Source organism: Homo sapiens, chromosome 2, assembly GCF_000001405.40.
Source record: "Homo sapiens chromosome 2, GRCh38.p14 Primary Assembly".
In the NCBI taxonomy this organism is placed as follows: Eukaryota; Metazoa; Chordata; class Mammalia; order Primates; family Hominidae; genus Homo; species Homo sapiens.
The window spans coordinates 84,885,423-84,912,843 of record NC_000002.12 but is presented as its reverse complement, the minus strand read 5'-3'; the positions used below and the strand labels follow the sequence as shown (position 1 = coordinate 84,912,843).

Here is a 27,421-nt window from a genome sequence, read left to right as displayed (position 1 = left end):
ATCCCTATAGTCAGTGGTGTTCTGGAGCCAACTGGCAGCAGCTTGCGAAGAGCCAATTGTTAAATTTTCAGAAAGCAGGCAAGTTGGTTGTTAAACGGTTGGCAGCTTGAAATTAGCAATATTTACACCGCGGAAATCAGCAAAAGCTACAAATCAGCTCCTCCCCACCTCTACTCAGAACTGAGCTGATTATTAGATATTTGCCATCATACTAATATGTGAGGGTCTTTCCTTGATTAAAGTTTTTCCTACCTTTTGTCTGAACTACTATAATATCCTACTAACCAGTATTTCTTTTTTTTTTTTTTGAGACAGAGTCTCGCTCTGTTGCCCAGGCTGGAGTGCAGTGGCGCGATCTCGGCTCACTGCAAGCTCTGCCTCCCAGGTTCACGCCATTCTCCTGCCTCAGCCTCCCGAGTAGCTGGGACTACAGGCGCTCGCCACCACGCCCAGCTAATTTTTTGTATTTTTAGTAGAGACGGGTTTCACCATGTTAGCCAGGCTGGTCTCGATCTCCTGACCTCGTGATCCGCCCACCTCGGCCTCCCAAAGTGCTGGGATTACAGGTGTGAGTCACCACGCCTGCAGAAATACTTTCTGCAGTTAAACTTTTCTCTTTCCAGCTGATCGTTGTTAGAATACTTTGACTATAAGTAACAGAAAACCCAACCATAGACTTCCTAAATGTAATAAATATTTATTGTTTCACATAACAAAAAGTTCAAAGATAAGGCACTTTTAGGAAAACTCAGCAGCTCAAGGGCTTACCAACTACCTAGATTCTTTCCATTTTCAATCTTTGCCACCCTCATGATGTTAGCATTTCCCCCAGATGACTGTCATCTTTCACATGTCACATTCTCACATCACCACATTTGTACTTATGCCTGTTTTAAAAAGGAAACAAAATCTTCCACGAAGCCTGTTTACAGGCTTCCTGTGAGGTCTCCTTGGCCTGGATCACAACCCATGCTTATTCTTAGATAATGGAATTACCATGATTGCTTCAGACCACTGGTTCCCAACCCTTCAGAACCAACTCCTTCTTACATATCAAGTATTTTATAACACTCCTCTTTCCTGAAATGAAAATCAGAGATAATATAACCTGCCCCTACACACACATTAAAAACATAAATATAAGCCCTAACCGGAATATAAAGGTAAAATAAAGGTAATTTATAAAGAAAATAGGTATATGCATTTTAATATATATAGCAAATTGTATTATGAGTTCTAATTATTTTCCGCTTTCCCCACAATGGAATTATACATCCCAGCCTGATGACTTGTAATTTACATTGCCTCTTTGACCAACGTAACATGAATGGAAGTGCTACGTCTGAGAAGACGCATGACTTTGCCGTAACAACAACATGTCTCAGATAGGGGTTGCTCCTTTAGCCTGGCTGTCAGAATGAAAAAGACATGTGGAACAGGAGCAGAGCAGCAACTGATGTGTAATGTAAACAAGAAATAGATTTGTGTTATTTTAAGCCATTGAGATTTTGGGGTTTTTTGTCACTGCAGCATAAGTTATCAAAAGCTGACTAATACAAGATGGTACAACAATATTCTAGCATATAAAGAAGTAGTCTTCACTTTATGTATGTTTTCACTTATGTGTAATATTATCATGATCCAGCAGCTTCAGATGGACATGATACAATTGTGTTGTATGAAAAAATTCAGAAACCAAGAGGATATTTCTATTAGTGAAATGATTTTCTGCAATAGTGATCAATTCTTAGTGAAGCTGCAAGTTAAAAAAAAAAAGGCATCCCTCTATTACATGATAGTTTTCATTCTTGGCAAATAAAGTTTATAGTAAAATTGGGCAAAATTAGTTGTTGCTGGACTCATATAAAGAGATGTTTTACCTATATGAATAGAAGTCATGCATCTATTTATATTACATTCAAAAACAGGCAAAATGTATACATGCTGTTAGAACACATATAGTTATATGACTGGGAAGAGGCATTAGGGTGTGTTCAGTTTGCAAAGATTCATCCAACTGTACAGTTCTGTGTATTTTTCTATATATATGGTTTTTAAATTTTTGTTTTGTTTTTGAGATGGCGTCTCACTCTGTCACCCAGGCTGGAGTGCAATGGCGCGATCTCGGCTCACTGTAACCTCCGCCTCCCGGGTTCAAGCAATTCTCCTGCCTCAGCCTCCTGAGTAGTTGGGATTACAGGCACCAACCACCATGCCTGGCTAATTTTTGTATTTTAAGTAGAGATGGGGTTTCGCCATGTTGGCCAGGCTGGTCTCGAACTCATGACCTCAGTTATCTGCCCATCTTGGACTCCCAAAGTGCTGGGATTACAGGTGTGGCCACCACACCTGGCCACCATATATATGTTATAATACAGTAAAGAGTTAAAACAAAGTCATGCATGAGACAAATATTTGATGTGTAGGATTGTTCTATGCATTTCAGAATGTCAAACATTTCTGGTCTCTGCCTATGAACTGCCAATAATGTCCCCTAATTATTATGACAACCAAACCAAAACAAAATGTCCTCACAGATTTTTATATTGCTGAACCCCAAAGTGCCTTAAATTTATACTACTCAAGCCTCATTTCCTGCACTGGGCCCTCTGAAGCTCATTGATTGATATCTGCATAATATTGGTCTTCTATTGGCCATTGTTCATAGGCAGGGTAGAAGAAGATGATGTATGGGTGTTGGTGTTGATGTCGTTATTGTTGTTGGTAGTGGTGATGGTGATGGTGGTGGTGGTGGTGGTGATGGTGAAGATGGTGGTGGTGGTGATGGTGAAGATGTTGGCAATGGCGATGGTGGAGGTGGTGATGGTAGTAGTGATGGTGGCAATGGTGATGATGATAATGGTAGTGGTGGTGTGATGGTGGAGATGATGGTGATGGTGGCAATGGTGATGGTGGTGGCGGCGGCAATAGGGATGGTGGTGGTGGTGGTGATGGTGAAGGTGTTGGCAATGCTGATGGTGGAGGTGGTGATGGTAGTAGTGGTGGTGGTGGCAATGGTGATGATGATAATAGTAGTGGTGGTGTGATGGTGGAGATGATGGTGATGGTGGCAATGGTGATGGTGGTGGTGGTGGCAATAGGGATGGTGGTGGTGACGATGGTGGCAATGGGGACAGGGTGGTGTGGTGATAGTGGTGCTGTTGATGGTGATGATAAAGGTGGTGGCAATGGTCATTGGTGATGGTGATGGTAGTGGTGTGGTGGTTGAGGTGTGATGGTGGCAATGGTGATGGTAGAGGTGGTGATGGTAGTAGTGATGGTAGTGATGGTGGTGGCAATGGTGATGATGATAATGGTAGTGGTGGTGTGATGGTGGAGGTGATGGTGATGGTTGCAATGGTGATGGTGGTGGTGATGGCAATAGGGATGGTGGTGGTAATGATGGTGGCAATGGGGATGGGGTGGTGTGGTCATAGTGGTGCTGTTGATGGTGATAAAGGTGGTGGCAAGGTCATGGTGATGGTAATGGTAGTGGTGTGGTGGTGGAGGTGTGATGGTGGTAATGGTGATGGGTGCTGGTGGCGGCAATGGTGATGGCAGTGATCACAGTGATGGTGGTGGCAATGATGATGGTTGTGATGGCAGTGGTGGTTATGGTGTTAATGGCAGTGATGGTGGTGGCAGTGGTGGTAGTGGTTGGGTACGTAGCCATCTGTATCAGCCACAGCATCCTCCACATGCTATCACATACATCTTAGATAACTTTGCCCCAACCCTCAAAATCTGCAGTGGTTTCCAACTGTCTACAGGAAAAACCACACCCTACTTACCTTCTAGGGTAATTTTGAAGTGCTTTTGTTTTCAATGAACCTTTACCTTTCCCATTGCTGAACATGCTGTGGTATCACTATACCTTGCTCCTCCTTCTATTGAGAAAGCCCTGCTCTCATTCTCACTTCTCTAGGTCTTCTTTCAAATGATTCCTCTTCCGTGAAGCAGCACCATGTCCCAGAGTTAACCACTCCTTTGTCTACTTTCCCAGAGGGTTTTACTTAAATCTCTCTTTAGCATTTATTTTATTCTGCCTTTTGTGTAGTTAGTTGGCACATGTCTTCTGTAGCCTCCACAGGCCTAGTACAATGATGGGCACTGAGTTCTTAAAAAAAAGCGTGTTGAATTAAGCGGAACAGGAACACAGCTTCTGAATTTCTCAGAAATCAGCAACCCAATATCCAAAATCTTTTAGCTGGCTGAGACCTATAGTTGTCATCTGGGTAATATAGGCTTCCTACCAATAGCTTCAATTGTAGGTTAACTGTACTTCCCCTTATTTCAGTAGGATTTCATCCTGAACTGGGCTCAGGGAGGGAAATGAAAGTATTTGCCTTCCCTGAACTTCCACAAGTTCACCATGCTTGGGCCCTGTCAATGTGTACATAGAATAGAATAGAACCAACAAGACAGTGGGGGAGGAGGGCTGGTAGCAGCTTGGCTTTAGCATAGCCAAGTTGGAGCAGGCGAGGCCATATGATACTTCAGTTACAATTCAGTGAGCACTTATGAGTGTCTACTAAGTGCTGACTACTGTGAGAGTCACCAATATCAATTAATAAGAATCTTTCAGCCGGGCATGGTGGCTCACGCCTGTAATCCCAGCACTTTGAGAGGCTGAGACGGGTGGATCACCAGAGGTCAGGAGTTCAAGACCAGCCTGGCTAACATGGCGAAACCCCGTCTCTACTAAAAATACAAAATTAGCCGGGCGTGGTGGTGCATGCCTGTAATCCCAGCTACTCAGGAGGCTGAGGCAGGAGAACTCGGGAGGCGGAGGTGTGGAAGTTGTGGTGAGCTGAGATTGCACCATTGCACTCCAGCCTGGGCAACAAGAGCGAAACTCCATTTCAAAAAAAAAAAAAAAAAAAAAAACAACAACCAAAAAGTTAGCCAGGCGTGGTGGCTCATGCCTGTAATCCCAGCTACTGGGGAGGCTGAGGCAGGAAAATCGCTTGTACCCGGGAGGCGGAGGCAGTGAGCCGAGATCGCACCATTGCAGTCCAGTCTGGGAGACAAGAGCGAAACTCCGTCTCAAAAAAAAAAAAAAAAAAAAAGTCTCTCTATTTACTCTAATGGGGGAGGTGATGTATGTGTCCAGGTACCAGGAGGGAGGTGCAGATAGGAGTTCAGAGAGAATGCCTTTGGGCATGAGTCTCCCTGCCAAGCCTAGGTGTCCTGACTCTGGTCTGCTGTGGCTATCTCACTCACCAGATTTTAAATTCCTCGTGGACAGGGACCGTATCTTATTCGAATTAACTGTCTTCACCCAGTGCCCAGCCTCTTGGGGCCGGGCAAAAATGTGGGACGAATCTCTAAGCAGTGTCCTATCCACCTTCCTTAAAGAAAACTCCACCCCTGTCTTTATAAGCCTGTTTCTTCTGCTTCTGAATGGCCTGCAGCCCCAGGTTCCCAACTGTCAGGCCCCCTTGGGCTGGTCCTATTCCTTCCCTGTGGGTTTGAGGTGTCATCCCTTGGAGCTTGGCCGCCAGCGCCAGCGCCAGCCCACCCTTCCTCCCTCCCACCACATCCCCACCCTTCCTGCTGAGCACTGGGTGGTAGCAGATCAGTCTAGCACTTCCTCTAATGGCTAATGTTTTTGTGGGAGGTTCTGAACTAGGGTTAAAAGACAAAAGCTCTTCCCCCCTCCCCTCCCCCAGTTCTAGTGTTGGTTCTTCTAGTTCTGACGTTCCCGTTGCTGTATCCCTAGATCCCGCCTTTGTTTTAAGCTCCCGAAGAAAGGCTTCCGGAGACTTTGTGACCTCACCCAATTTCCAACATTCCAGATTGTCTTTTCTTTCTTTAAAATCAGTGTTCCCTTCTGAGTCAGCTAGGAGGAGGCCAGAGGGAAACAGTGGGGCTTTCGAAGCTTATCAAAAGCAAACCTTGCTCTTTTGAAAAAGCATTTTCCAACGCAACCTGGGGACAAAGTGGGGTTAAATTTTACACAGATTGCTTACGAGCAAGAGTTAAGTGGCTAACAAGTCATGAAATCTTACGGAGAAGCAGGTAAAGCCAAAATTAAAAACTCCCTCCGAGTCAGCCCATTCTGCGACCCACCTCCTCCCCTTTGCGGCAGGAACTCTACTCCATCGAGGGGCTTTGCTGCAGTGGCACTGCCCACGCATACTCAACTAAAAGACTCAGACCACGCCAGCCATGCCACGAGGTGTGTTTTATTTTCATTATTCATACAAATAATTTTCTATAATATCCCGGGGCAAACCGGAGAATTTGGCAGTCCGATTGGGGGGGGGTCCCTTCAGAGACCCACAGGCCGGTGGCATCGGCGCGGAGTGCCCAGGTTCACAGTGCAGCTTGTGGCTCGTGTCCATCTTGCAGGTGGCTCTTCCTCCACATCACGACTGGGGTCTCGAAGAGGACGGGGGTAGGAAATCCTCCAGGATCTTAGGAAATTTCACTCCGCTTCTCCTGCTCAATGGCTGTGGAGAGCGGGAAGCGGGCGCTGGAGGGGAGCTGCAACCCCCACCCGCAACCGAGGTGCTTCCCGGTGTGGGCGAGGCACCCACGAGGTGTGGGGATTTAGAAGGAAGCTTGGGGCTGGGGAGAAACAAGGCGCTTTGTGAAACTGAAAGAGTGGCCGGGGCCGCCCACACCGGGGACAACGGCGGGGTGGGGGGTGGAGGAGTGGGTTTGCAAGGAAGAGCAGGGTGAGGGGCTGGGCTGGGGCGCGGGAGACCGAGGCACACTCACTCTCTTTGGTCGGCAGGGTGTTCTTCTCCTGCGTCTCCGTTTTCTTCAGCTTGGCCTTATCGAAGCTGGCGATTTCCCCCATGTCTGGTTTGTCTGCCATTTTCTTAAAACAATCCTAGTGGGCAAACCAAGGCGCTTGACCTGGGCCTGGGGGCCAGCGTCCCCTTCCGCGCTCCCCGCCGACGCCTCTCGACGTGGCACTCGCGCCAAGGCGTGCCGAGCAGCCCCAAGGCCGAGGATCTGGGCGCGTCCCGCACCCCTCTTCTCGGTCCCAGGGCGTGGTCGCCGGCCCCTGCGTCCGGTCCGAGAAGGGCGCCTGTCGCGGTTGCGGCGCGCCCGCCCGGTGCACCGGATCCGACCACACCCTGGGTGGGCCCCCCGCCCCGGCGCCGCACTCACCGTGCAGTCTCGTTCCGAGCCCGAGATCCTGGTGCTCCCACTCGCGTTGCTGCAGCAAGAAACAAAAGAGCGGCGCCCGCCCCTAGCCTTATATACGCCGCGCCCCGCCCCGCCCCTCACCCGCCGCAGCAGGGGCGGTGCTGGCACCCGAGGGGCGGGAGCAGCGCGGGCTGCTCCTCGCCCTGCCGCGCCCCCCGCTGGGCTACCAGCCCGGCTGGGCGCGGCTTCTCCCGCGCCGGGCACCCCCAGCTCGCAGTGTGCCCAGCGTGGGGGCTGTAGTCGCCGCCAGAGTGGGCGCCAGGCCCCCGGCTTTGCTTTTGCGGCTACATTTCCCCCTTTCCGGGAATCTGCTGCTCACCCCGCAGAAAGGATATGGGACCGGCGTGGGAGGGTGTGTGGTTTTGTGCGTGTGCAGATATGATGTGTAGCCGTGGGTGTGGATGTGCGGGCGTGCACGCGCACTCTGCAGCAATCCTCGCTCTAGGAGACGCCCCACCCCAGTCGCCCCCAGGCCTCTTGCTTTTGCTCCTCCAGAGTCCCCTTCCCTCCCCCACTTTTCCTCTCCTTAGGGAGGCTGAGTCCTAAGGTGGTCCTGCACTAAAAGAATTCGAGCCGAGGGTCCCGTAGTGGAGCGGGGGGCGGGGGGGTGTAGGGGGAGGGGGGAATAGGTTTCCAGCGCTCTTTGCTCAGGTTGGGGGCGGTTGCCTTCTGGTCAGTCGTCCCCTGTTCCCTGAACTGGGCGGTTCCAGCAGGATCGTTGGCGTGGCGGGTGTTCCTTAAATGCTGTTAGACGCATTGTGTGAAGGGCTGTGGTGGGAACAGGGCGTCCCGAGAAGGCTCGCAGTTTGCCTTTTCTCGTCGAGCTCCTAGAAACACTGTATCAGCGGGTGCGGTTTTCCTCCTTGAAGTTAACCTTGAGGATAATAGAGACCCACATGCCTACAAACGTTCTTGTTTTTCTTATTAACCCATTGTAGGAGTGGTATACTGCAATTATTCACATCTTTCTTAGAAAAGTTGTATTTTCAGCCTGTGCAACACCGTTAGGTAATAAGTTCCATAAATTACCAGCCCCGGAGTTAAGGCTGGTCATTCTTTTATTTGTCCTGACCTTTCCTTTTTTAAGTGTGAAGTATTACCGAGCTCTTTAAAGTGGGATTTGGTGGTGACATCCTAAATTCGGTCCTGATTTTATTTATTTACTTTTTTTGAGACAGGGTCTCACTCTGTCACCCAGGCTGGAGTGCAGTGGTGTGATCACGGCTTATGGCAGCCTGGACTTCCCCGGTTCAAGTGATTCTTCCACCTCAGCCTCCTGAGCAGTTGGGACTGCGGGCGTGCACCACCACTAGCGGCAAATCTTTTGTGTTCTTTTTGTAGAGACGAGATTTCACCATGTTGCCCAGGCTGGTCTCGAACTTCTGGGCTCAAGCCATCTGCCTGCCTTAACCTCCCAAAGTGCTGGGATTACAAGCCTGAGCACCACTCCCTGCTTCTCCCCTCCTGATTTTACCTGCTTTTCTCACGTTCCTTCAGTTTGGAACAGTGGGAAGAGAGCATAGGCTTGTGTGACCTTGGGCAAATCTTTTCCTTAGTTTCTTCATCTATAAAATAGCCTTGGCATAAACTGAGGTGAGATAAAGAAGAGGCATAGAGTGGATACTTTTTCTTTCTTTTTTTTTTTTTAGCAGGGTCTCTGTGCAGCGGTGGGATCACAGGTCACTGCAGCTTTTTTTTTTTTTTTTTTTTCTTTTTTGAGACGGATCTCACTCTGTTGCCCCGGCTGGAGTGCAGTGGTGCAATCTCAGCTCACTGCAACCTCCGCCTCCCGGGTTCAAGCGATTCTTGTGCCTCAGCCTCCCAAGTAGCTGGTATTACAGGCACGTGCCACCATGTCCGGCTAATTTTTGTATTTTTAGTAGAGACGGGGTTTCACCATGTTGGCCAGGCTGGTCTCAAACTCCTGACCTCAAGTGATCTGCCCTCCTTGGCCTCCCAAAGAGCTGGGATTACAAGTGTGAACCGCTGTGCCTGGCCTCAAGTGGATACTTCAAATAGCAACCTCATTAGAATATCACACTTATATTTGATGAGTGCATTGGTTAACTTCTGCTGCAATATGCCATGTAACAAACCACCCAAAGCTTAGGAGTTTAAACAATGATTTATTCTTGTTCCTATATGGGCAGGTCAGATGGTGCTGGGCTGGGCCGGGCTGAGCTTGGCTCCAGACTTTGTATTGGGTCTAGGTTTGCTCCACAGGTATCTTATCCTCTGGCTGATTCTTTGGTGATGGCAGAATAGCAAGAGGGTTGTACTGCAAGATAGTGTAGAAATGTTAAAGTGTCAAAGCCTGTCATATCCTGTCATGTTTGCTGCCATCCTATTGGTCAAGCCCACCATCAACAGAGTGGGGAAAATATTCCACCTATGGTAAGAGAGGGAGGGTAGTGAACATTTCTTGAATGAAAGTGGAACTTCACGTCAGGGTCAGCAAACAACTGGTAACACACAGCCCCCAAGGTGGCTTAATGCAATACAAGTTTATTTTCTTTTTTGTTTTTTGAGATGGAGTCTTGCCCTGTAGCCCAGGCTGGAGTGCAGAGGCATGATCTCGGCTCACTGCAATATCTGCCTCCCGGGTTCAAGCGATTCTCCTGCCTCAGCCTCCCGAGTAGCTGGGATTACAGGCATGCACCACCATGCCCGGCTAATTTTGTATTTTTAGTATGGATGGGGTTTTACAATGTTGGCCAGGCTGGTCTCGAACTCCTGACCTCAAATGATCCACTCACCTCAGCCTCCCAAAGTGCTGGGATTACAGGTGTGGGCCACCGCGCCCAGCCTACAAGTTTATTTTCTACTCATGCAGCAATATTCTGTGCTGATGTTGCTGGTCAGGCAATTCTTTTCCATCTAGTGACTCAGGAACTCAGGCCCCTTCTCTCTTGTTACTCTGCTCTCGTCTAGGTCCTTGAAGTCCACACCATCCAGCCAGTGGATGGGGAAAGAGGAGAGGCTAGAGGACCACACTAGAGTTTTTATGGACCAGGCTTGGAAGTAGTCTCCATTACTTTCGCTCTCATTTCTTTGGCCAGAGCTCATTCACTTGGTTTCACATAACTGCAAGGAAGGCTGGGAAATATAGTCTAGCTGTCCCTAGGAGAAAAAGAAAGCAGGGTTGGGTGGTCTTGGAGAGGTCTCTGCCATACACTGTTGAAGGATCTGCTAAATTGAATGTAAAAATATCCAGATTTTCAGAGACAGTGATTCTTTGGAGGGTTTCACTGGCACTTGACTCCTTTTCAGTTGCAATGCCAATAATTGTTTAGGTATTATTATAATACATTCCCGGGCCCCACCTTTGACCTGGGTGTAGGAATATTCAATTGTACCAATTTGGACCCATGGTGAACTTTCATTCCAACTTCCCTTTATTGAGAAAACAAAGGAATTGACTTCTAAATACAGCTATGGAGACCTATGTTTGGAGACCGAGTAAGTATGCAAGACTCCCAAACAAAGGAGCTTTAGGGGGACTTGCAGACAGACATTCCTTATTCTTGCTCAGTGCAGCCCTGTGGCCCATCTCTACCATAGCAGGCAGCCTCTTAGGCATTCATTGCTTAAGGACAATGGTCAAAATCTATGTCTCAGCCAGTCCCATGGGCAGTGGTTTTAAAACATCTGCATATTCTTTGACATTTTCCCACCATTTCTTGGGTACAGACTGGCCTTAGTGACTTTCTTTTAGTGAGTAACACATGGAATGAATGATGCTTTGTGACTTCTGAGGCTAGGTCATAAAAGACCACATGGTTCTTTCTGATGTTCTTTCAGGATGCCTCCAAGTTGTGAGAAAATCAAGCATCTACAAGGAAAGGCCACATGTCGGCATTCCAGCCACAGCCTCAGCTGAGGTCAGAGCTAACAGCCAGCATCAACCACTAACCACACAAGTGAAGGAGACTTCGAAGCTTCAAACTGCCCCAGCTAATGCCAAGTGGAGCAGAGATGAGTTGTCCCTGCTGAAATTGCAGACTCATGAGCAAAATAAATGTAGTTGTTTTAAGACACTAAGTTTGAGAATGTTTTGTTACACAGCATGAGATAACTGGAACACCATGAGGTAGATAAATTATAACCTGGTGATTCCAGGCACTCCCATCTCATTTGGGGATTTTTTTCCTAGATACTTAAAGTAACACACATATACTTATTCAATAAATGTTTATTGAATGCTCACAAAATATCTGGGAGCATTCTGGCTGTGGAAGATACAATGAAACTCTCGAGTTACAAGTGTAGTGTAGTAAATGACTCAAAGTCAGTCAATATTCACGGTCATGCCTTGTATTCACTTATGACTTGGGGTGCCATTTATATGTGACAACATTTCAGCTTGCTGCTGGGAACAGATTTTATACTGTTCACAGATGGAATAGACAAAGCTGAACTACTAAACTGCAATGACATTGCCATTTTCTTTGTCAAGAAGGATGTTCTGGAAAATGTAGAACTAATAAGAGGAACTAAGAAAGTCTTGATGACTGTCAACTTGGGGGTCAACTTTGGAGGCTTGCCATGGGGCTTCATTCCTCAGACTTGTCCAACTTGACACTTTTATCAGAGACTGGAATGAGGATGTAGATAGAATAATGATTATGTTATGAAGGATGAATCTCTAAGCTCCAAAACCAGCTGGATACCGTAGAGAAATGAACAAAATGTGATGAGATAAACCTGATAGAGACAGATGTGGAAGCTTCCTGGCCCTAATATGAATCCTACAAATACAGGGAGAGATGATTAATGTGGTTAACTGGCAAATGGCAGTGAAATTTGTGATTGTATGGATAGGAAGAAAGAGTCCAGTCCAGATTTCCTTTGAATGTGAGAAAACCATTCACTCCTGCTATAGGACCTTTGCCCTCGTTTATGCTCTTCTTGGCCTAAACATATGCATTGCGCACATTTTTCCTTCATTTAGGAACCTGCTGAAGTGTCTCTTTCCTCAGAGAACTCTCCTTGGCCATCCATATAGAGCAACACCCTTGCCATTCTGTTGCTCTTTAGTGTCTTTCATTTTTCTTCATAGAATCCATCTCTAACCAATATACAAGTAAACATGCTACACATTCATTTCTTTGTGTATTGTCTATGTCCTGCCATAGAAAATGGGAGACCTCATCTGTCTCGTTCACCACTGTATCTCCAGCACCTAAGGCAATGCCTGACATATAGTAAGTGCTCAGTCAATATTCTTTGAACAAATGCATAAACCTGGGCCATTTCCAGGCAGAGCAAAAAATGCTTAACTTCCTAATTGAAATGGAATGAGCTACTTTGGGGTAAGTGATCAGTTCCCTGTCATTGGAGGCATTCAATCAGAAAAGGCTATCCTCAATGAGAAGAGGATAGCCAAGTATTTGGACTGTTATAGAGATGGGCCAGAATAGGCTCACAAGTGAGGAAAGCTTGCCCTAGATGACCTTACTGGTCCGTCTATTGCTACTATTCCATTTGTGAAACAGTCTCCTTCTGAGTGCCAGTTTTGCCAGCCTGAAGATTTTACCAGCCTGAAAATAGTTGCTAACCTCACACAAAGGAGGCAGGGGAAGCAAAGAAATCAGGATGTGAATTCCATATTCTCCATACCATGAAACTGCTGTATGTTTTTGTAGGTCATGGGGCTTAAGGGCTCATCCAAGATAAAATTGTGAAGAAAATAAAATGGGCCTTTGAGGTTCAGCCTCAGCAGAGATTGTTCTGCTCTGTGGAGAACAGTGTGGATTAGTGCCTACGTAAACCTTGGCAGTTGCTTAGGTAGCCCAGGTGGCTAAAGGCCACAGTGTGAGTGAGAATGTTACTGTTTGATTTTCCATATCTGCTGTTAGAATAGCGATGATGACAGCGACTTACATTACTGAGCAGATACTGTGTTCCAGATTTGGCAGTAAGGACTTCACATGTATTATCCTATTTAATCCTCGACAAAATAATAGTGTGAAATAGCAGGATTTTGAACATCTCTGCTTTATAGTATAGGTATCTAAGCCTTGGTCGACGTCACACAGCTGGTCATTGGCATTGCTGGGACTTGAATCCCAAGTCTGGCTGATTCCAAAGCCTGGGCACCTCACCACTGCACCGCCCTTGCCTAGACCCTGCGGCAGAGTTTGCAAACTGCCAGCCTGGATCCAGCTGGCATATGTATTTTGTCTGGCCACACTAAATTTAACATAGACTTCAGGCAACCCCCAAACATTGGAAGATTTCTGTACTGAAGATCTAGTAGCACTGGGTCTGTATTTTCTCATGGCAACACCACAGTGAACAGCTGCCCCCTTGAAATGAGGCATGTCCTCTTCACTGTACTGGATTTCTATCATTCCTTAATGTCTCTCCAGCATGGAAACAAGGAAACAAGTGTCAATTGCTGCTTATTATATTTGGGTTGGTGTTCTGCTTATAGTACAGAATTTTTTTTTCTTTTTTGAGATGGAGTCTCGCTCTGTCACCCAGGCTGGAGTGCAGTGGTGTATTCTTGGCTTACTGCAACCTCCGCCTCCCAGGTTCAAGCAATTCTCTTGCCTCAGCCTCCCTAGTAGCTGAGACTACAGGCATGCGCCAGCACGCCCAGCTAATTTTTATATTTTTAGTAGAGATGGGGTTTCACCATGTTGACCAGGCTGGTCTCGAACTCCTGACCTCAGGTGATCCACCCGCCTCGGCCTCCCAAAGTGCTGGGATTACAGGTGTGAGCCACCGTGCCTGGCCAGAAATATTTCTTGATCCTTGGTCTCTGTGTGAGCCAGCCTTCAAGATGGCCCCAGCAAGTGCCTCCTATTCCCATCCTTGTGTAGTCCTCTCCTCTATTGTACTGGGGTTGTCCTGTGTGACTGATGGCATATGGCAGAGATGATAGTATGGCATTTCTGAGATTAAGTTACAAAAGACTGTAATTTCCATTTTGGTGCCTGGCTCTGTCCTTCTCTCCCTTGGATTTCTCATTCTGGGGGAAGCCACTTACTGTGTTTTGAGCAGGCCTGTGAAGAGGCCCATGTGGTGAGGAACTGAAGCCTCTGGCTAACAGCCAGTGAGCAGCTGAGACTTGCCAACAACTGCATGAGTAAGTGAGGAAGTGGGTCCTCTAGCCTCAGCTAAGCTTTCAGAGGACTGCAGTCCTGGCCGTGGAGTTGATTGCAACCTCATAAGAGAGTCTGAGCTAGAAATTATTCAACTAAAGTTGCTCTCAGAAACTGTGACTTTATGTTTTATGTTGCTAAGTTTTGGAGTAATTTGTTTCTCAGCAATAGATAAACTAATTCACTCTCAAAAATAGGGAGAAAATACATAGAGACAGCAAGTAGAACAGTGGTTACCAGTGGCTGGGGGAAGGGGAGAATGGGGAGTTCTTGTTACTGGTACAGAATTTCAGTGTGAGATGATGAAAAAGCTCTAGAGATGAATCATTGTGATGGTCATCCAAGAATGTGAATTCACTTAATGCCGCTGAACTGTACACTTAAAAATATAAATTATATGCTATGTATATTTTACCACAATAAAGAAAAAAGTGAAAAAAATGAGGAGGAAAGATGGAACAAGAGTGCCATGTGATTCAAGAAAAATAAGAAAGCACATTTATTTGTGAAAGTAAAGAATATTTGTATCATTATAAAACCTGCCATAGTAAGAGATTTGACTGTACATGGGAAAGATGAGTGACACCAATCTTAATGAACCAGGCCCGTTTTGCTTCTTCATATGATCTGCCTGGCTCCTGTAGGTCTCTGAGTCAGCTAAGCATACTGTAGATCAGTGGTTTAAAAATTTTTGTTGACCTGAGAGGTCACTCCCACCCCCAAGAAATACATTAAGTACCTTTAATATTGTTACCCAGTACTCACATGAGCACTCACAAATGAAACAAAAGTTTCACTAGAACAATATTCACCCTTACTCTGAATGAAGAACTCTGACCTTCTCTGTCCTATTCTATTCCTTTTCATTAATTTTTTTTAATGTGAAATAATGATAGATTCACAGGAAGTTGCAAAGATAGTAAACCGAGGTCCCTGGTATCCTTCTCCCAACTCTTCTCAGTGGTAACATCTTACATAACTATAATAATTCAAATCAAAACCAGGAAATCAACGTTCATCCAATCTATAGACTATTTCCATATTTCACCAATTTTTACATGTATTCATTTGAGCATGTGTAGTTTCAGGCTTTTATTTATTTATTTATTTTTTTGAGACAGAGTCTGGTTCTGTTGCTCAGGGTGGAGTGCAGTGGCATGATCTTGGCTCACTGCAACCTCCACCTCCCGGGTTCAAGTGATTCTCTTGCCTCAGCCTCCCAAGTAGCTGGGATTACAGGCCATTTTTTTTTTTTTTTTTTAAGTAGAGATGGGGTTTCACCATGTTGGCCAGGCCGGTGTCGAACTCCTGACCTCAAGTGATTCACCTGCCTTGGCCTCCCAAAGTGCTGGGATTATAAGCATGAGCCACTGGGCCCAGCCATAGGCATTTTTATTACCTGTATAGAGTTGTATTACCACTATCACAATCTAGTTACAGATTTATTCCATCACCATACAAGGAGTCCCTCATGTTACCCTATTATAGTCCCACACATCCCTACCCATAACCCTTGGCAGCCACTACATAGTGGACCCTGTCTCTATATTTTTTAAAAAGACAGAAACAAGATCCATCCAAGTTGTTGAGTACTTCATACACTTTTATTTCTTTGTGTTCCTATAGTATGGGTGTACTGCCTGTTGAAGGACATTTTGGTTGTTTCATATTTGGGCTATTAAAAATAAAGCTGCTCTGAAGATCTGTGTGCATTTTTGGGGGTGGACGGAAGTTTTCATTTCTCTGGGATAAATGCCCAGGGTTGGGAGGCTGGGACTACTGGATCATTTGGTAAGTGTGTGCTGAGTTTTGTAAGAAAATGCCAAACAATTTTGCAGAGTGGTCGTATTGTTTTACATTCCCACCAGCAATGTAGGAGAGATCCAGTTTCCCAGCATTCTCACCAGTACTTTGTATTGTCAGTGTTTTAATTTTAGTTATTCTAATAGGTGTGGAGTGATATCTCATCATGGCTTTAATTTGCATTTCCCTAATGGCTAGTGGTGTTGAATGGTTCCTTGCCATTTTATCATTTTATTAAAAATGCTGATTATGACCTGCCAGTCTGATTTTATTACCCACTAATTGGCTGTGACTAGCAGTTGAAACACCACTGTAGAGGGATCCCTTTATCAGTGGCTTGGCGTCTATTATTCAGAAATCATCCCTTTCACATCTAAACTCTCCTTTCACCTCCACAAGACAGATGTTTCTGAAATTTTATGTGTAACTCGGATGTTCTCTGGAATCTGACCAAGATCTAGCTAAGAATGATTCCAACTCCTTTTTGATGCTTCCCCATGATTTTTCTGAATTTTCAGGCATATTCTGTTCTTATAGTTATTTCTCATCTCTCAGAGTTTCTGTGTCTCCACATTAATGCACCTCCATATGTAGATAGCCCTTGGCCGTGATTTCCTTTTTCAGAGGAACAATATACGGCTGGTATGTGCAGTACAACTTTTATCAGAGGTTTTTGGGTTATGGGGAGAGACAGACATATCTTTAATGACACAACTTTGTGCCACTGGGGACCCTCCTGTGCTTCTCCCAAGTATTCCCAAACTTACACTATCTCCACCTACCCCCCAACATAATTTTTTTTATTTATCTATTTTTGAGAAGGGGTCTCGCCCTGTCATCCAGGCTGGAGTGCAGTGGTGTGATCACGGCTCACTGCAGTCTCAACTTCCCTGGCTCAAGTGATCCTCCCTCCTCGGCCTCCGAGCAGCTGCAACTACAGGCGCATGCCCAGTTATTTTTTTTTTAGTTTTTATTTTTAGTAGAGATGAGGTCACGTTATGTTGCCTGGGCTGGTCTCTAACTCCTGGCCTCAAGTGATCCTTCTGCCTTGGCCTCCCAAAGTGTTGGGATTACAGGCGTGAGCCATTGCACCCTGCCTCCTGTACCCTTTCTGATTCTCTCCTTCTCTTAATTCTTTCCCTTGAGAAATACCAACTCTCCTCTTTCTCCCCAGTAGAATAGTGTACTTGTTCAGTGTACAGCAGAACAATGTTCCTTGCTTCCTTCATTCTGGCTAAAGGAGGTTTTTGGGCCTCCTTTCCTACTACCAGCAGCTGATCCCCAAAGACAATTCCTTTCCTCAGTAGAGTTTTGGTGCCAGCTGCTAAGATAATACTGCCCCACGGGAAAACATAGAAACTTCCTGAGGCTAAGTTTGCAAGGCTGGCTGGTTTCAACACACAGGAATGAACTGGCTCTGTGAAGAGGGCCCCAGGGAAGGCCGTCCAAGCCAGGAATTTAGGGAAAGTAGCAGTTAGATCTTGGGGAATTTTCCAGGTTAGGAAGGTCAAGGGGAAGTCTGACTCATCAAGAGCCCCCCACCTCCATGACTCTGCCAAGAAAACAGACCCTGAGATGTGTCAGCAGCAGAGGATTTGGCGGCAGATGCAGCAAGGATGGAGAGGATAAGCGCCAGGAGAACCTCTTCTTCCTGACAGCCATGAAGCAAGGAAGCCCCTGAGCCTTGAACCTTTCTGGGGAGGAGAGAGAGAAGGAATCACTCAAGACCAAGCATTTCTGCGGGGAGACTGAGTGAAGCCTTAGCAGACTGCTTCAAACAGGAAGAGACTGAGTTTCCTTTAATCGGCTCACTTACTACCCATCTGCCAGTGTGGGCACCCAAGCACTGCCAGACAAAAAGCAAGCTGCGTTTTTCTTTCTTCCTAAGTATTGGTCTTAGTGTGTACATTTTGACCTCTTTCCCTGATATACTGCATACAATTTAAAAATCTCTCCCATGTGTTTTTTCTTTCTCTAGTCCCAATGTCTGTATGTTTTCTGTAAAGGAAGTACAGTGTAAAAGTGATCCCAGCCCCAATATGGTGACTGGCTGGGTGACTGTGTTAATTATCCTCTTTAGATTGCAAGGAACAAAGACTCACTTGGGATCCCTTAAGCAAAAAGGGCATGTCAGTTTAGGTTTCCCTGGAAGCAAAATCAGACAGGTTTAATGTGCAGGATATTTATTAAGGAGTTCCCTTGAATTCACTCCTATTGAAGCAGAAGAAGGAAGTGGGATTGGGGAGAAGGAGAAGTCAACCTAGACAATGTAGGCTTAATGACACCCTCAGTACCCCCAACACCGCAGGGGACCTCTGAAGCTAATGCGCTGAAGCAGATGGGCTGAGATGGGCTGAGACTGTAAGGGCGAGGTGGCTCTCTGTAGCCAAGGCAGTGCTACAGAGAATGACACCTGGAGGCTACCTGCTGGCAACATTCCTAGCCAGCTGGTTCGACAAGTCCTTTCTTGAAGGGGAACCTGAGTAGTCCCTTGCAGTGTCCACACCAGGGGACTTAGGCTAAGAATGCCCTAGGGCTGCAACCAGACTGCTGCCAGCCGCCCCCGGGAGCTCTGAGTTTCTCCCTTGCCTGCTTTCCTGACCCTTCTGCTCTCCCTGTATACTGTCTCTGCTTCCTCTGTGCACCTGGTCTGATTTCTCCTGGGTACTACCTGGATGGCCCTTACCGTGTTCTGATCAAATGCTGGAGGAGCCATTTACATTGACCTAGGACGGTGATTCCCAAACTGTGTTCCACGGAATTCTAGTCCTGGAGCTGTTACTATATCCTTCAAAAGCTGGGTGATATTTATATATGGGTTCATTGTACTCTTTTGTCTTCTTCTTATATTATAATATTTATATTATATTATTATATATTATATATAATATATATAATATTATAATATATATAATATATATAATATATATATAATATATATTATATATTATATATAATATATATTATATATATTATATATAATATATATAATATATATTATATTATATTTATTATATATATTATATATTATATTATATATATTATATATAATATAATATATAATATATATAATATATATAATATTATAATATATATATTATATAGAGAGAGCACTCTCTATATAATATATATAGAGCTCTCTATATAGAACTCTATATATATTATATATAGAGAATGCTCTCTCTATATAATATATATAGAACTGTATATATATTATATATAGAACTTGCTATATATTATATATAGAACTCTATATAGATTTTATATATAGAGCTCTATATAGATTATATATAGAGCTCTATATATAGATTTTATATATAGATATTATATATAGAATCCTATATGTATTTATATCTATATATAATATCTATATATAGAGTTCTATATATAATCTATATAGAGTTCTATATATAAAATCTATATATATCTATATATTCTATATTTAAACATAGAATATAAATATAAAATATATAGAATTCTATATATTTATAATATATATAGAATATAATATATAATATATAATATATAGACTTCTATATATAATATATATAGAATTCTGTATATTATATATTATATATAGAATTCTATATATATTATAAATAGATAGAATTCTATATATTATATATAGAATTATATATATAATATATACTGTACTATTATATATTATATATTATAATATTATTATTATATATATTATATATAATATATATAATATTATATATAATATATTATATATAATATATTATGTATAATATAATATATAATATTACATATATTATATATAATATAATATATTATATAATATATATAATATAATATATTATATAATATTATATATAATATTATATATAATATTATATATTATATACTGTCTGTATATTATATACTGTCTGTATATTATATTATATACTGTCTATATATTATATTAATATATTATATATATTCTATGTAGAATATATTTCAAATTCTATATAGAATATATATTCATATATATGAATATATATTCTATATATGTATATATTCTATATATGAATATATATTCTATATATATTCTATATTCTATATATATTCTGTATTCTATATATATTATATATATTCTATATTCTATATATAATATATATTCTATATATAATATATATAAATTATATATAATATATATAATATATATATTATATATAATATATATAATATATATATTATATATAATATATATAATATATTATATATAATATATATTCTATATATAATTTATATATTATATATTATATATATATAGAATATAGAATATATATATCTATATATAATTATATATATCTATATATAATTATATATATATTTATATATATAATATAATATATATTATATATAAAAGAGGATATAGTAATATATATATCTTCTTCCTCATATATGTAATACATCTCCTTCTTAAAGAAAATGCTAGCTGGTAGTGAGAGGTGGCAGTACAGGGAAATGGGTGAAAGTTTGGACTCTAAAGGTAGACTTTGTGAGTTTGAATCCAACACCTACTAGATGTACAACCTTGGCCAAGTAACTTAACCTCCCTGTGCTAAGCTTCCCTGATCAAGGGCTGCACACAGGGTGGCTCCTGTTATGTGGAGATACTGGGTGACTGGCGTGTTCATGGCAGTTATTTTATGAAAACTATAAAGTCTCAAGCCCAAAACGTATTTTAATAAAACGGTATATATATGTATACAAGCACCAACTGGAAAAAATAATATTATTGCTGTCCTCATTTCTGGGAGGCTGTAAAGCGTATTTTTCTTAGTAGAGAAAGACCTTTCCTTGGAATAAGCGTGTTCATGCACTTTTGGAGAGAGGCTCCCTTTTAAGCCGGGATTCTGGCCCATGAGGAAGTTCTACAGGGGCCATCACAAGAAGGAAAGCAGATCTTTGACGCTCCCATGGCCACGGCGCCCTATGGTCTGCAGGGGGAGGGGACCTGGGCAGACAGTCTTCCTCAGCTAAGGCCACTAAGATTAGTCTGTGAGGCCAGGCCCCGTATTGATCGCCATTCATGTGGCAAAAGGAACTTCCTACCCAGGAAACAACAGATCTCTGGCAAGAAAGAAGGAAGAAGGAAAGAACACCCCACACTTCCTTTACCCAGGTCATAAAATGACCAGTTGCCAGATGCCAGGACAGTATTCCGATAGCTGATGGGGCCTCGGGGGCCAAGTGGAGGTCACGGCAGTCAGCCAGCCAGATCAGGGCAGGGGTTGCTGTTAGCATGTTGCATCTCTTGGAAAGACTGGCCAGGCATGGGGGCTCAGCTCTTGAGGCCACTGTTACTAATGAACGAGTTGGACTAACAAGAATGGTAATCCTGAGGTTTTCTGCAACATTCATTTTCTTCACTGCCCTATTCCCTGCAGCATTATTTATGATCATGAAAAATGGCAAACAAGCCACGCTGTGGGAAGTTCTTCAGGCATTAGGAAGAATCAGTAGATTGTTATGTTTTGAAGTATAAGGCACACTCTCAATTGGAGTGGCCACATAATACATGCTCAAGAAGTAGCCAGTTTTAAAAAAATCATTAAAATTTAAGAGATTATCAAAGATGTGCTTGTTATTTTATGTATGTATGTATGTACATATGTATGTATGTATTTTTGAGATGGCAGAGTCTTGCTCTGTGGCCCCGGCTGGAGTGCAGTGGCGAGATCTCGGCTCACTGCAGCCTCTGCCTCCTGGGTTCCAGCGATTCTCCTGACTAGCCTTCCGAGTAGCTGGGATTACAGGCGCCTGAAACCATGTCTGGCTAATTTTTGTATTTTTAGTAGAGACGGGGTTTTGCCATATTGGCCAGCCTGGTCTCCAAGTCCTGACCTCAGGTGATCTGCCCACCTCGGCCTCCCAAAGAGCTGGGATTACAGGCGTAAGCCACTGTGCCTGGCTTGTACTTGTTATTTAAAAAAAAAAAAAAAAAAATCAGAAATACAGAAGCGTACAGAGTAGAAGCAGAAAGACCCTCTTTCCTTCCCTCCCCCACCCCACACCCATCTCACTCCCTCCCCAGATAAGTCATTAATTTGCTGTCTTCTCATTCTAGAGTCTGCAGATCTACCGCATTTGTAACTTTCAAATTCTAAGGATTGTTTCATTGTTTTAATGTTTCAGTGACCAGCTCACTGATTCCCTAACTGCGGTCTGTATGCGCGTGTGTATTGAGTCAATATTTCCCAAGAACAGATTCCTTTCCTGGAATTTCTAGGTGCTAACTGCCTTACAAAAAGCTTTCACAGCTGGGTGCGGTGGCTCACGCCTGTAATCCCAGCACTTTGGGAGGCCGAGGTGGGTGGATCACCTGAGGTCAGGAGTTTGAGACAAGCCTGGCCAACATGGTGAAACCACATCTCTACTAAAAATACAAAAATTAGCCGGGCATATTGGCTCATGCCTGTAGTCCCAGCTACCCTGGAGGCTGAGGCACAAGATCACTTGAACCTGGGAGGGGGAGGTTGCAGTGAGCCGAGATCGCGCCACTGAACTCCAGTCTGGGCAACAGAGTGAGACTTGATCTCAAACAACAACAACAACAACAACAAAATAAAACTGAAACAAAACAAAATGCTTTTACTTTCCTATTGCATATTGCCATGCTTCTATTTTTGCCAGTTTGAGAGGTGGAAATGTACCTGTTTTAATTTGCTTTTAAACATTATTTTATTTAAAAAAATTGTGGTAAAATATACATAACATAAAATTTACCATTTTAATCATTTTTAAGTGTTCAGTTCAGTGCTATTAAGTACATTCACATTGTCAGGCTATCATCGTTATCCATCTCCCACATTAATTTGCTTTTATTTCATTAGCTAGTGAGTATTTTTTCATTTCTTCATGCACTATTATATTTCTCCTTTCCCTCTCTCATTTTCTTCTTTCCCTCCTTTTCTTTCTCCTCTTACTCCTCTCTCTCTTTTTTTTTTTTGTCTTTTTATGATCTCTGCCGATTTCCCAAATAGCCTGATAACCCTTTTTCTTTCTCTTTTTTAAAAATTAGGAGCTTTCTACATTATGTGTATTATGTTTTGTCAGTTTTCATATATTCTGCTTGGCTCTTTATATATTACATTAGTTATTGTCTTTACAACATCCCTGCAAGACAAATATTCTGATTCCCATTTTGCAGATGAAGAAGATAAAGTTCAGAGATGTTATGTGACTTACCTAAGATCACACAGCTAGTAAGTGGCACAGACAAGATGTGACTCCAGTTCTGTCTGCTTCCGGGGCCCAAGTCCTTTTCACAGTGCTCAGGACAAAAGGAAACTGCGTGAGATGGTGATACTCTACTAAAGGCAGGCAAGACTAGAGGACAGTGGGAGTTCAAGAGACTTCAGGGGGAGGCTGGGGTAAAAGAGTCTGGGGGATCTAGAAGAAGCTGATGTTCCTAATCTTGGAGGAAGTGAGAGATAGACTCCCTTTCCCCCTGCTTCTCTTGTTGCCTGAAGGACCACTGAAACGCTGATGAAACTGGGGGTCTTATGAGTATTCACCCTCCATCACCACCAGCACTGTGGCTGTGGAGTTGAGGCCAGAGGGTGTGGTCTAGAGGCCCTTTCTGGGTGCTAATTCCGGGAAGTTTCTTGTTCTCCCTCTTGCCTACATCCAATTAACCTCCAAGTGCGGTGGATTTTACTTTTATGATAGCACTTCTCTTTGACCCCTGCCAGAGCCTGGTGCAGGTCCCTCTCATGTCCCCTCACTGTCTTACCACTTCTGCTTTCACTTTCTCCAGCTTCCCTTCCGTGCTGCTGTCTGAGTGATCTCTCTAAAGTGTATGTATGATTACACAATTCCCCTGCTTAAAACACTTTGATGGCTCTGCCACGTCTTCAAGATATGGGCCAAACTCCTCATCTCAGCTCTGGGGCCCTTCACTTCCAGCTCCTGCTATCTCTCTGGCTTACCCTTACCTGCCTTGATCTATGTGCAACAAGACTGAATTCCATGAACACAGCCAACTCTCTCTCATGCCTCAAGGCCTTTGTCTCTGCTGTTCTTTCTCACTGGAATGCTGCTTTCTGGTTAACTCTTACTCAGATCTGAGGTTTCTGTTTAGTTGACATTCCTGTAGAAACTCTCCCTAGAATGACGGTGGGGTCATGGGCTGTCATGGACCCTCATCACACCACCCACACTACCATCCTGTAATTTCCTTTTTGTGAAATTTCTGTCTCTCAATCTTGGCTGCATATTAGAAATGCCAGGGCAGCTTTAAGGATGCTGATGCTGGGGCCACACCCCCCCAGAAATGCTGAGTTAGTTAATCAGGGTGAGGCCCAGGTTTTGGTCATTGTAAAAGCTCTCCAGATGATTCTAATGTGCAACCAGCAATAACAGCTCTTGATAGAAAGCTCCGTGGGGCCAGGAGTCATGCCTGTCACAGTCACTTTTTTTTTTTTTTTTTTTTGAGATAGAGTCTCACTCTGTTGCCCAGGCTGGAGTACAGTGGCGTGATCTCGGCTCACTGAAACCTCTGCCTCCTGGGTTCAAGCGATTCTCCTGCCTCAGCCTCCTGAGTAGCTGGGACTGCAGGCATATGCCACCACGCCCTGCCAATTTTTGTAATTTTAGTGGAGACGGGGTTTCACCATGTTGGCCAGGCTGGTCTCGAACTACTGACCTCAGGGGATCTGCCCGCCTCGGCCTCCCAAAGCATTGGAATTATAGGCGGGAGCCACTGCACCCAGCCACAGTCATCTGTATAAACCCTCACTTGGCACTGAACTGTTCAGGTATTCGATAAGGGTGTTGCATAAATGAATGAAGCAGTTTCTAGAAAAGATGCAGGGTATGCATTGGATAGCAAGTTAGAGCTTTTTTTTTTTTGGGACAGAGTCTCACTCCATCACCCAGGCTGGAGTGCAATGGCATGATCTTGGCTTACCACAACCTCTGCCTCCTGGGTTCAAGCAATTCTCCCGCCTCAGCCTCCCGGGTAGCTGGGACTACCCGGCATGAGCCAATATGCCCGGCTAATTTTTGTATTTTTAGTAGAGATGTGGTTTCACCATGTTGGCCAGGCTTGTCTCAAACTCCTGACCTCAGGTGATCCACCCACCTCGGCCTCCCAAAGTGCTGGGATTACAGGCGTGAGCCACCGTGCCTGGCTGCAAGTTAGAGCTTTTAAAGGTTTTATAGAACAATCACTCCCCTGCCTTGTAAGAACTCACCGATCATTCAGGCCACTTTTAGAAAAAATTCCTAGTTTTGTTTACTTGTTTACTCATAGTGAAAACTAAATGTTTAGCTCATTGTCACTCGTGTGTTGCTGGGCCCCCTGTGGAAGGCCTTCTCTCTTCTCTGTGCCCACAGTGAAACCTTATGCCAACTGTCAGAGATCTAAAACCCACCTCTAAAGGAATGGTGTGTAATTTAAATATCACTGGAAATTTCTTGAAAATTTTCAACAGTAAGCCATCACAAAACCCCCTTGTCAACATCTCTGCTGTCTTTCCCCTTAATGGGTGTCTCCAGTCTCCTTGCCTCTAGCTTCTTCACCCTTCTGCCCCTCTCTGGTAAAAAAAACCCTTTTTCTTCCAATGTCCAGCAATTCAGCTCTTTCCTTCTGCTGGTGTCTCCCAAATAGCGAGGCAAAAACCTGAAGCTAGCTGAACAGTGACCACCCATTGTTTTTCCTGTGCCCTCCTGGGAGGCCCCAGTTCATCTCGACATATTATGAAGCTCTTTCTGTCAGGACTCCTTTGTACAGGCACCAGCATTGCACCCGGCTTCTAGGAGCAAGTGAGCATTCACCTAGCATAGTGTCACCATGTGACACATATGCAGGGCGGGGAGGGGCAGGAGACCAGTGGAAGCACAAGGATGGCATGGGGGCTGGCCAACGTCACTCTAAGTAGACATACAATGATCAATGCCCTTCAGCCATAGACCACCAGGGACACACTTGAAATTGCATTAGTTGGATTTATTGCTCTTTGCGATGAGGGAGAATTCTCTTGATGTGTGTCTTTTGTGTGTCCAAATTTTCTCATATTTTGGGGAATTGTAGGGCATATCAGGAAGAAGGTGTTAGGAGGGCTTGTTATAGGATTTGGACTTGTCAGGTGATTTGGGGGAGAGTTCAAGGAAGTGGGGCTTTGCTCTGGGTTGGGTGCTATCAAGTATTAGTCAGCTTGGGATGCCATAAAAAATACCCCAGACTGGGTGGCTTAAACACAGACATTTCTTTTCTTTTTTTGAGACAGAGCCTTGCTCTGTTGCCCAGGCTGGAGTGCAGTGGTGCAATCTCGGCTCACTATAACCTCTGCCTGCTGGGTTCAAGTGATTCTCCTGCCTCAGCCTCCTGAGTAGCTGAGATTACAGGTGCATGCCACCACACCTGGCTAATTTTTGTATTTTTAGTAGAGACGGGGTTTCACCATTTTGGCCAGGCTGGTCTCCAACTCCTGACCTCAGGTGATCTGCCTGCCTTGGGCTCCTAAAGTGCTGGGATTACAGGTGTGAGCCACCGTGCCCAGCCCAGAAGTTTATTTTCTTACAGTTCTGGATGCTGCAAGTCTGAGATCAAAGTGTTGGCAGGTCTCTTCTCCGAGGCCTCGCTCCTTGGCTTGCAGATGACTGCCTTCTTTCTGTGTTACTCACATGGTTGCCCCTCTGTGTATGCAGTCCGTGCTGTTCTCTTCTTTTTTTTTTGAGACAGGGCCTCACTCTGCTGCACAGGCTGAAGTACAGTGGAGACCATGGTTCACTCCAGTCTTGATCTCCCAGGCACAAGGGATCCTCCAGCCTCAGCCTCCTGAGTAGCTGGGACCTCATTCATGCACTACCATGCCAGGCTAATTTTTTTTTTTTTTTTTTTTGTAGAGACAGTGTCTCCCTTTGTTGCCCAAGCTGATCTCGAACTCCTGGGCTCAAGCCATCTTTCTGCCTTGGCCTCCCAGAGTGCTATGATTACAGGTATGAGCCACCATACTTGGCACAAATTTCCTCTTTTTATAAGGACACCAGTCAGATTGGATTAGGGCCCATCCTTACAGCCTAATTTTAACTTAATCATCGATTTAAAGACTTTATCTTCAAATACAGTCACATTCTGAAGCACTAGGGGTTAGGGGATTAATGTATGAATTTTGGGGGATCTTAATTTATCCCCAAATAGAATCTTAACGTATCTCATCTATGAGGTGGGAGAAATGAATGGAGGTGAAAACTGGCCTTGGTAAAGGAGCAGCCATCACTCCTTAGTCAGAAGAGGCGGATGACTGGACACCCTTTCTTGTGACTTGGCCAATGTTCATGTTTTGTCTGTGTTGAGATGTGATTATGGAGGGGTTTTGCTTTCATCTTCA

At 44.0% G+C, this 27,421-nt stretch overlaps 1 protein-coding gene and 2 long non-coding RNA genes across 3 annotated transcripts, besides 6 other annotated features; 1 reads left to right on the top strand and 2 right to left on the bottom strand.

The window, feature by feature from the left end:
- Window positions 3,642–3,691: a silencer, noted in NCBI's record as "silent region_11690". NCBI's record gives its function as "represses an Ori minimal core promoter by ATAC-STARR-seq in GM12878 lymphoblastoid cells {active_cell/tissue: GM12878}" and the evidence as "EXISTENCE:reporter gene assay evidence [ECO:0000049][PMID:35858748]".
- Window positions 5,726–6,925: an enhancer, noted in NCBI's record as "CDK7 strongly-dependent group 2 enhancer chr2:85133043-85134242 (GRCh37/hg19 assembly coordinates)". NCBI's record gives its function as "activates an origin of replication core promoter dependent on BRD2, BRD4, P300/CBP, MED14 and CDK7 cofactors, with strong dependence on CDK7, by STARR-seq in HCT116 cells {active_cell/tissue: HCT116}" and the evidence as "EXISTENCE:reporter gene assay evidence [ECO:0000049][PMID:35650434]".
- On the top strand, window positions 5,823–11,201 carry LOC105374836 (uncharacterized). The gene is made up of 2 exons (XR_940308.3): window positions 5,823–6,181; window positions 10,966–11,201. It is a non-coding gene; the product is annotated as an uncharacterized LOC105374836 (long non-coding RNA).
- Window positions 5,862–5,921: an enhancer, noted in NCBI's record as "active region_16104". NCBI's record gives its function as "activates an Ori minimal core promoter by ATAC-STARR-seq in GM12878 lymphoblastoid cells {active_cell/tissue: GM12878}" and the evidence as "EXISTENCE:reporter gene assay evidence [ECO:0000049][PMID:35858748]".
- Window positions 6,173–7,188, bottom strand: TMSB10 (thymosin beta 10). The gene is made up of 3 exons (NM_021103.4): window positions 7,126–7,188; window positions 6,727–6,841; window positions 6,173–6,455 (listed from the first exon to the last, which is right to left on the bottom strand). Exons 2-3 carry the CDS (start codon window positions 6,824–6,826, stop codon window positions 6,421–6,423), a joined length of 135 nt encoding a protein of 44 aa, NP_066926.1. The 5' UTR covers window positions 6,827–6,841; window positions 7,126–7,188; the 3' UTR covers window positions 6,173–6,420.
- Window positions 6,892–7,431: a silencer, noted in NCBI's record as "silent region_11689". NCBI's record gives its function as "represses an Ori minimal core promoter by ATAC-STARR-seq in GM12878 lymphoblastoid cells {active_cell/tissue: GM12878}" and the evidence as "EXISTENCE:reporter gene assay evidence [ECO:0000049][PMID:35858748]".
- On the bottom strand, window positions 9,908–23,874 carry LOC105374837 (uncharacterized). Its single transcript, XR_940309.3, has 3 exons — window positions 23,821–23,874; window positions 23,274–23,358; window positions 9,908–10,284 (listed from the first exon to the last, which is right to left on the bottom strand). It is a non-coding gene; the product is annotated as an uncharacterized LOC105374837 (long non-coding RNA).
- Window positions 23,875–23,974: an enhancer, noted in NCBI's record as "active region_16103". NCBI's record gives its function as "activates an Ori minimal core promoter by ATAC-STARR-seq in GM12878 lymphoblastoid cells {active_cell/tissue: GM12878}" and the evidence as "EXISTENCE:reporter gene assay evidence [ECO:0000049][PMID:35858748]".
- Window positions 23,985–24,054: an enhancer, noted in NCBI's record as "active region_16102". NCBI's record gives its function as "activates an Ori minimal core promoter by ATAC-STARR-seq in GM12878 lymphoblastoid cells {active_cell/tissue: GM12878}" and the evidence as "EXISTENCE:reporter gene assay evidence [ECO:0000049][PMID:35858748]".

Coding starts and splice junctions, on each gene's coding strand:
- TMSB10 (NM_021103.4), bottom strand. CDS start 6,826: ATGGCAGACAAACCAGACATGGGGGAAATCGCCAGCTTCGATAAGGCC. Junction 6,456..6,726: donor CACCCTGCCGACCAAAGAGA/GTGAGTGTGCCT, acceptor CGCTCTCCACAG/CCATTGAGCAGGAGAAGCGG.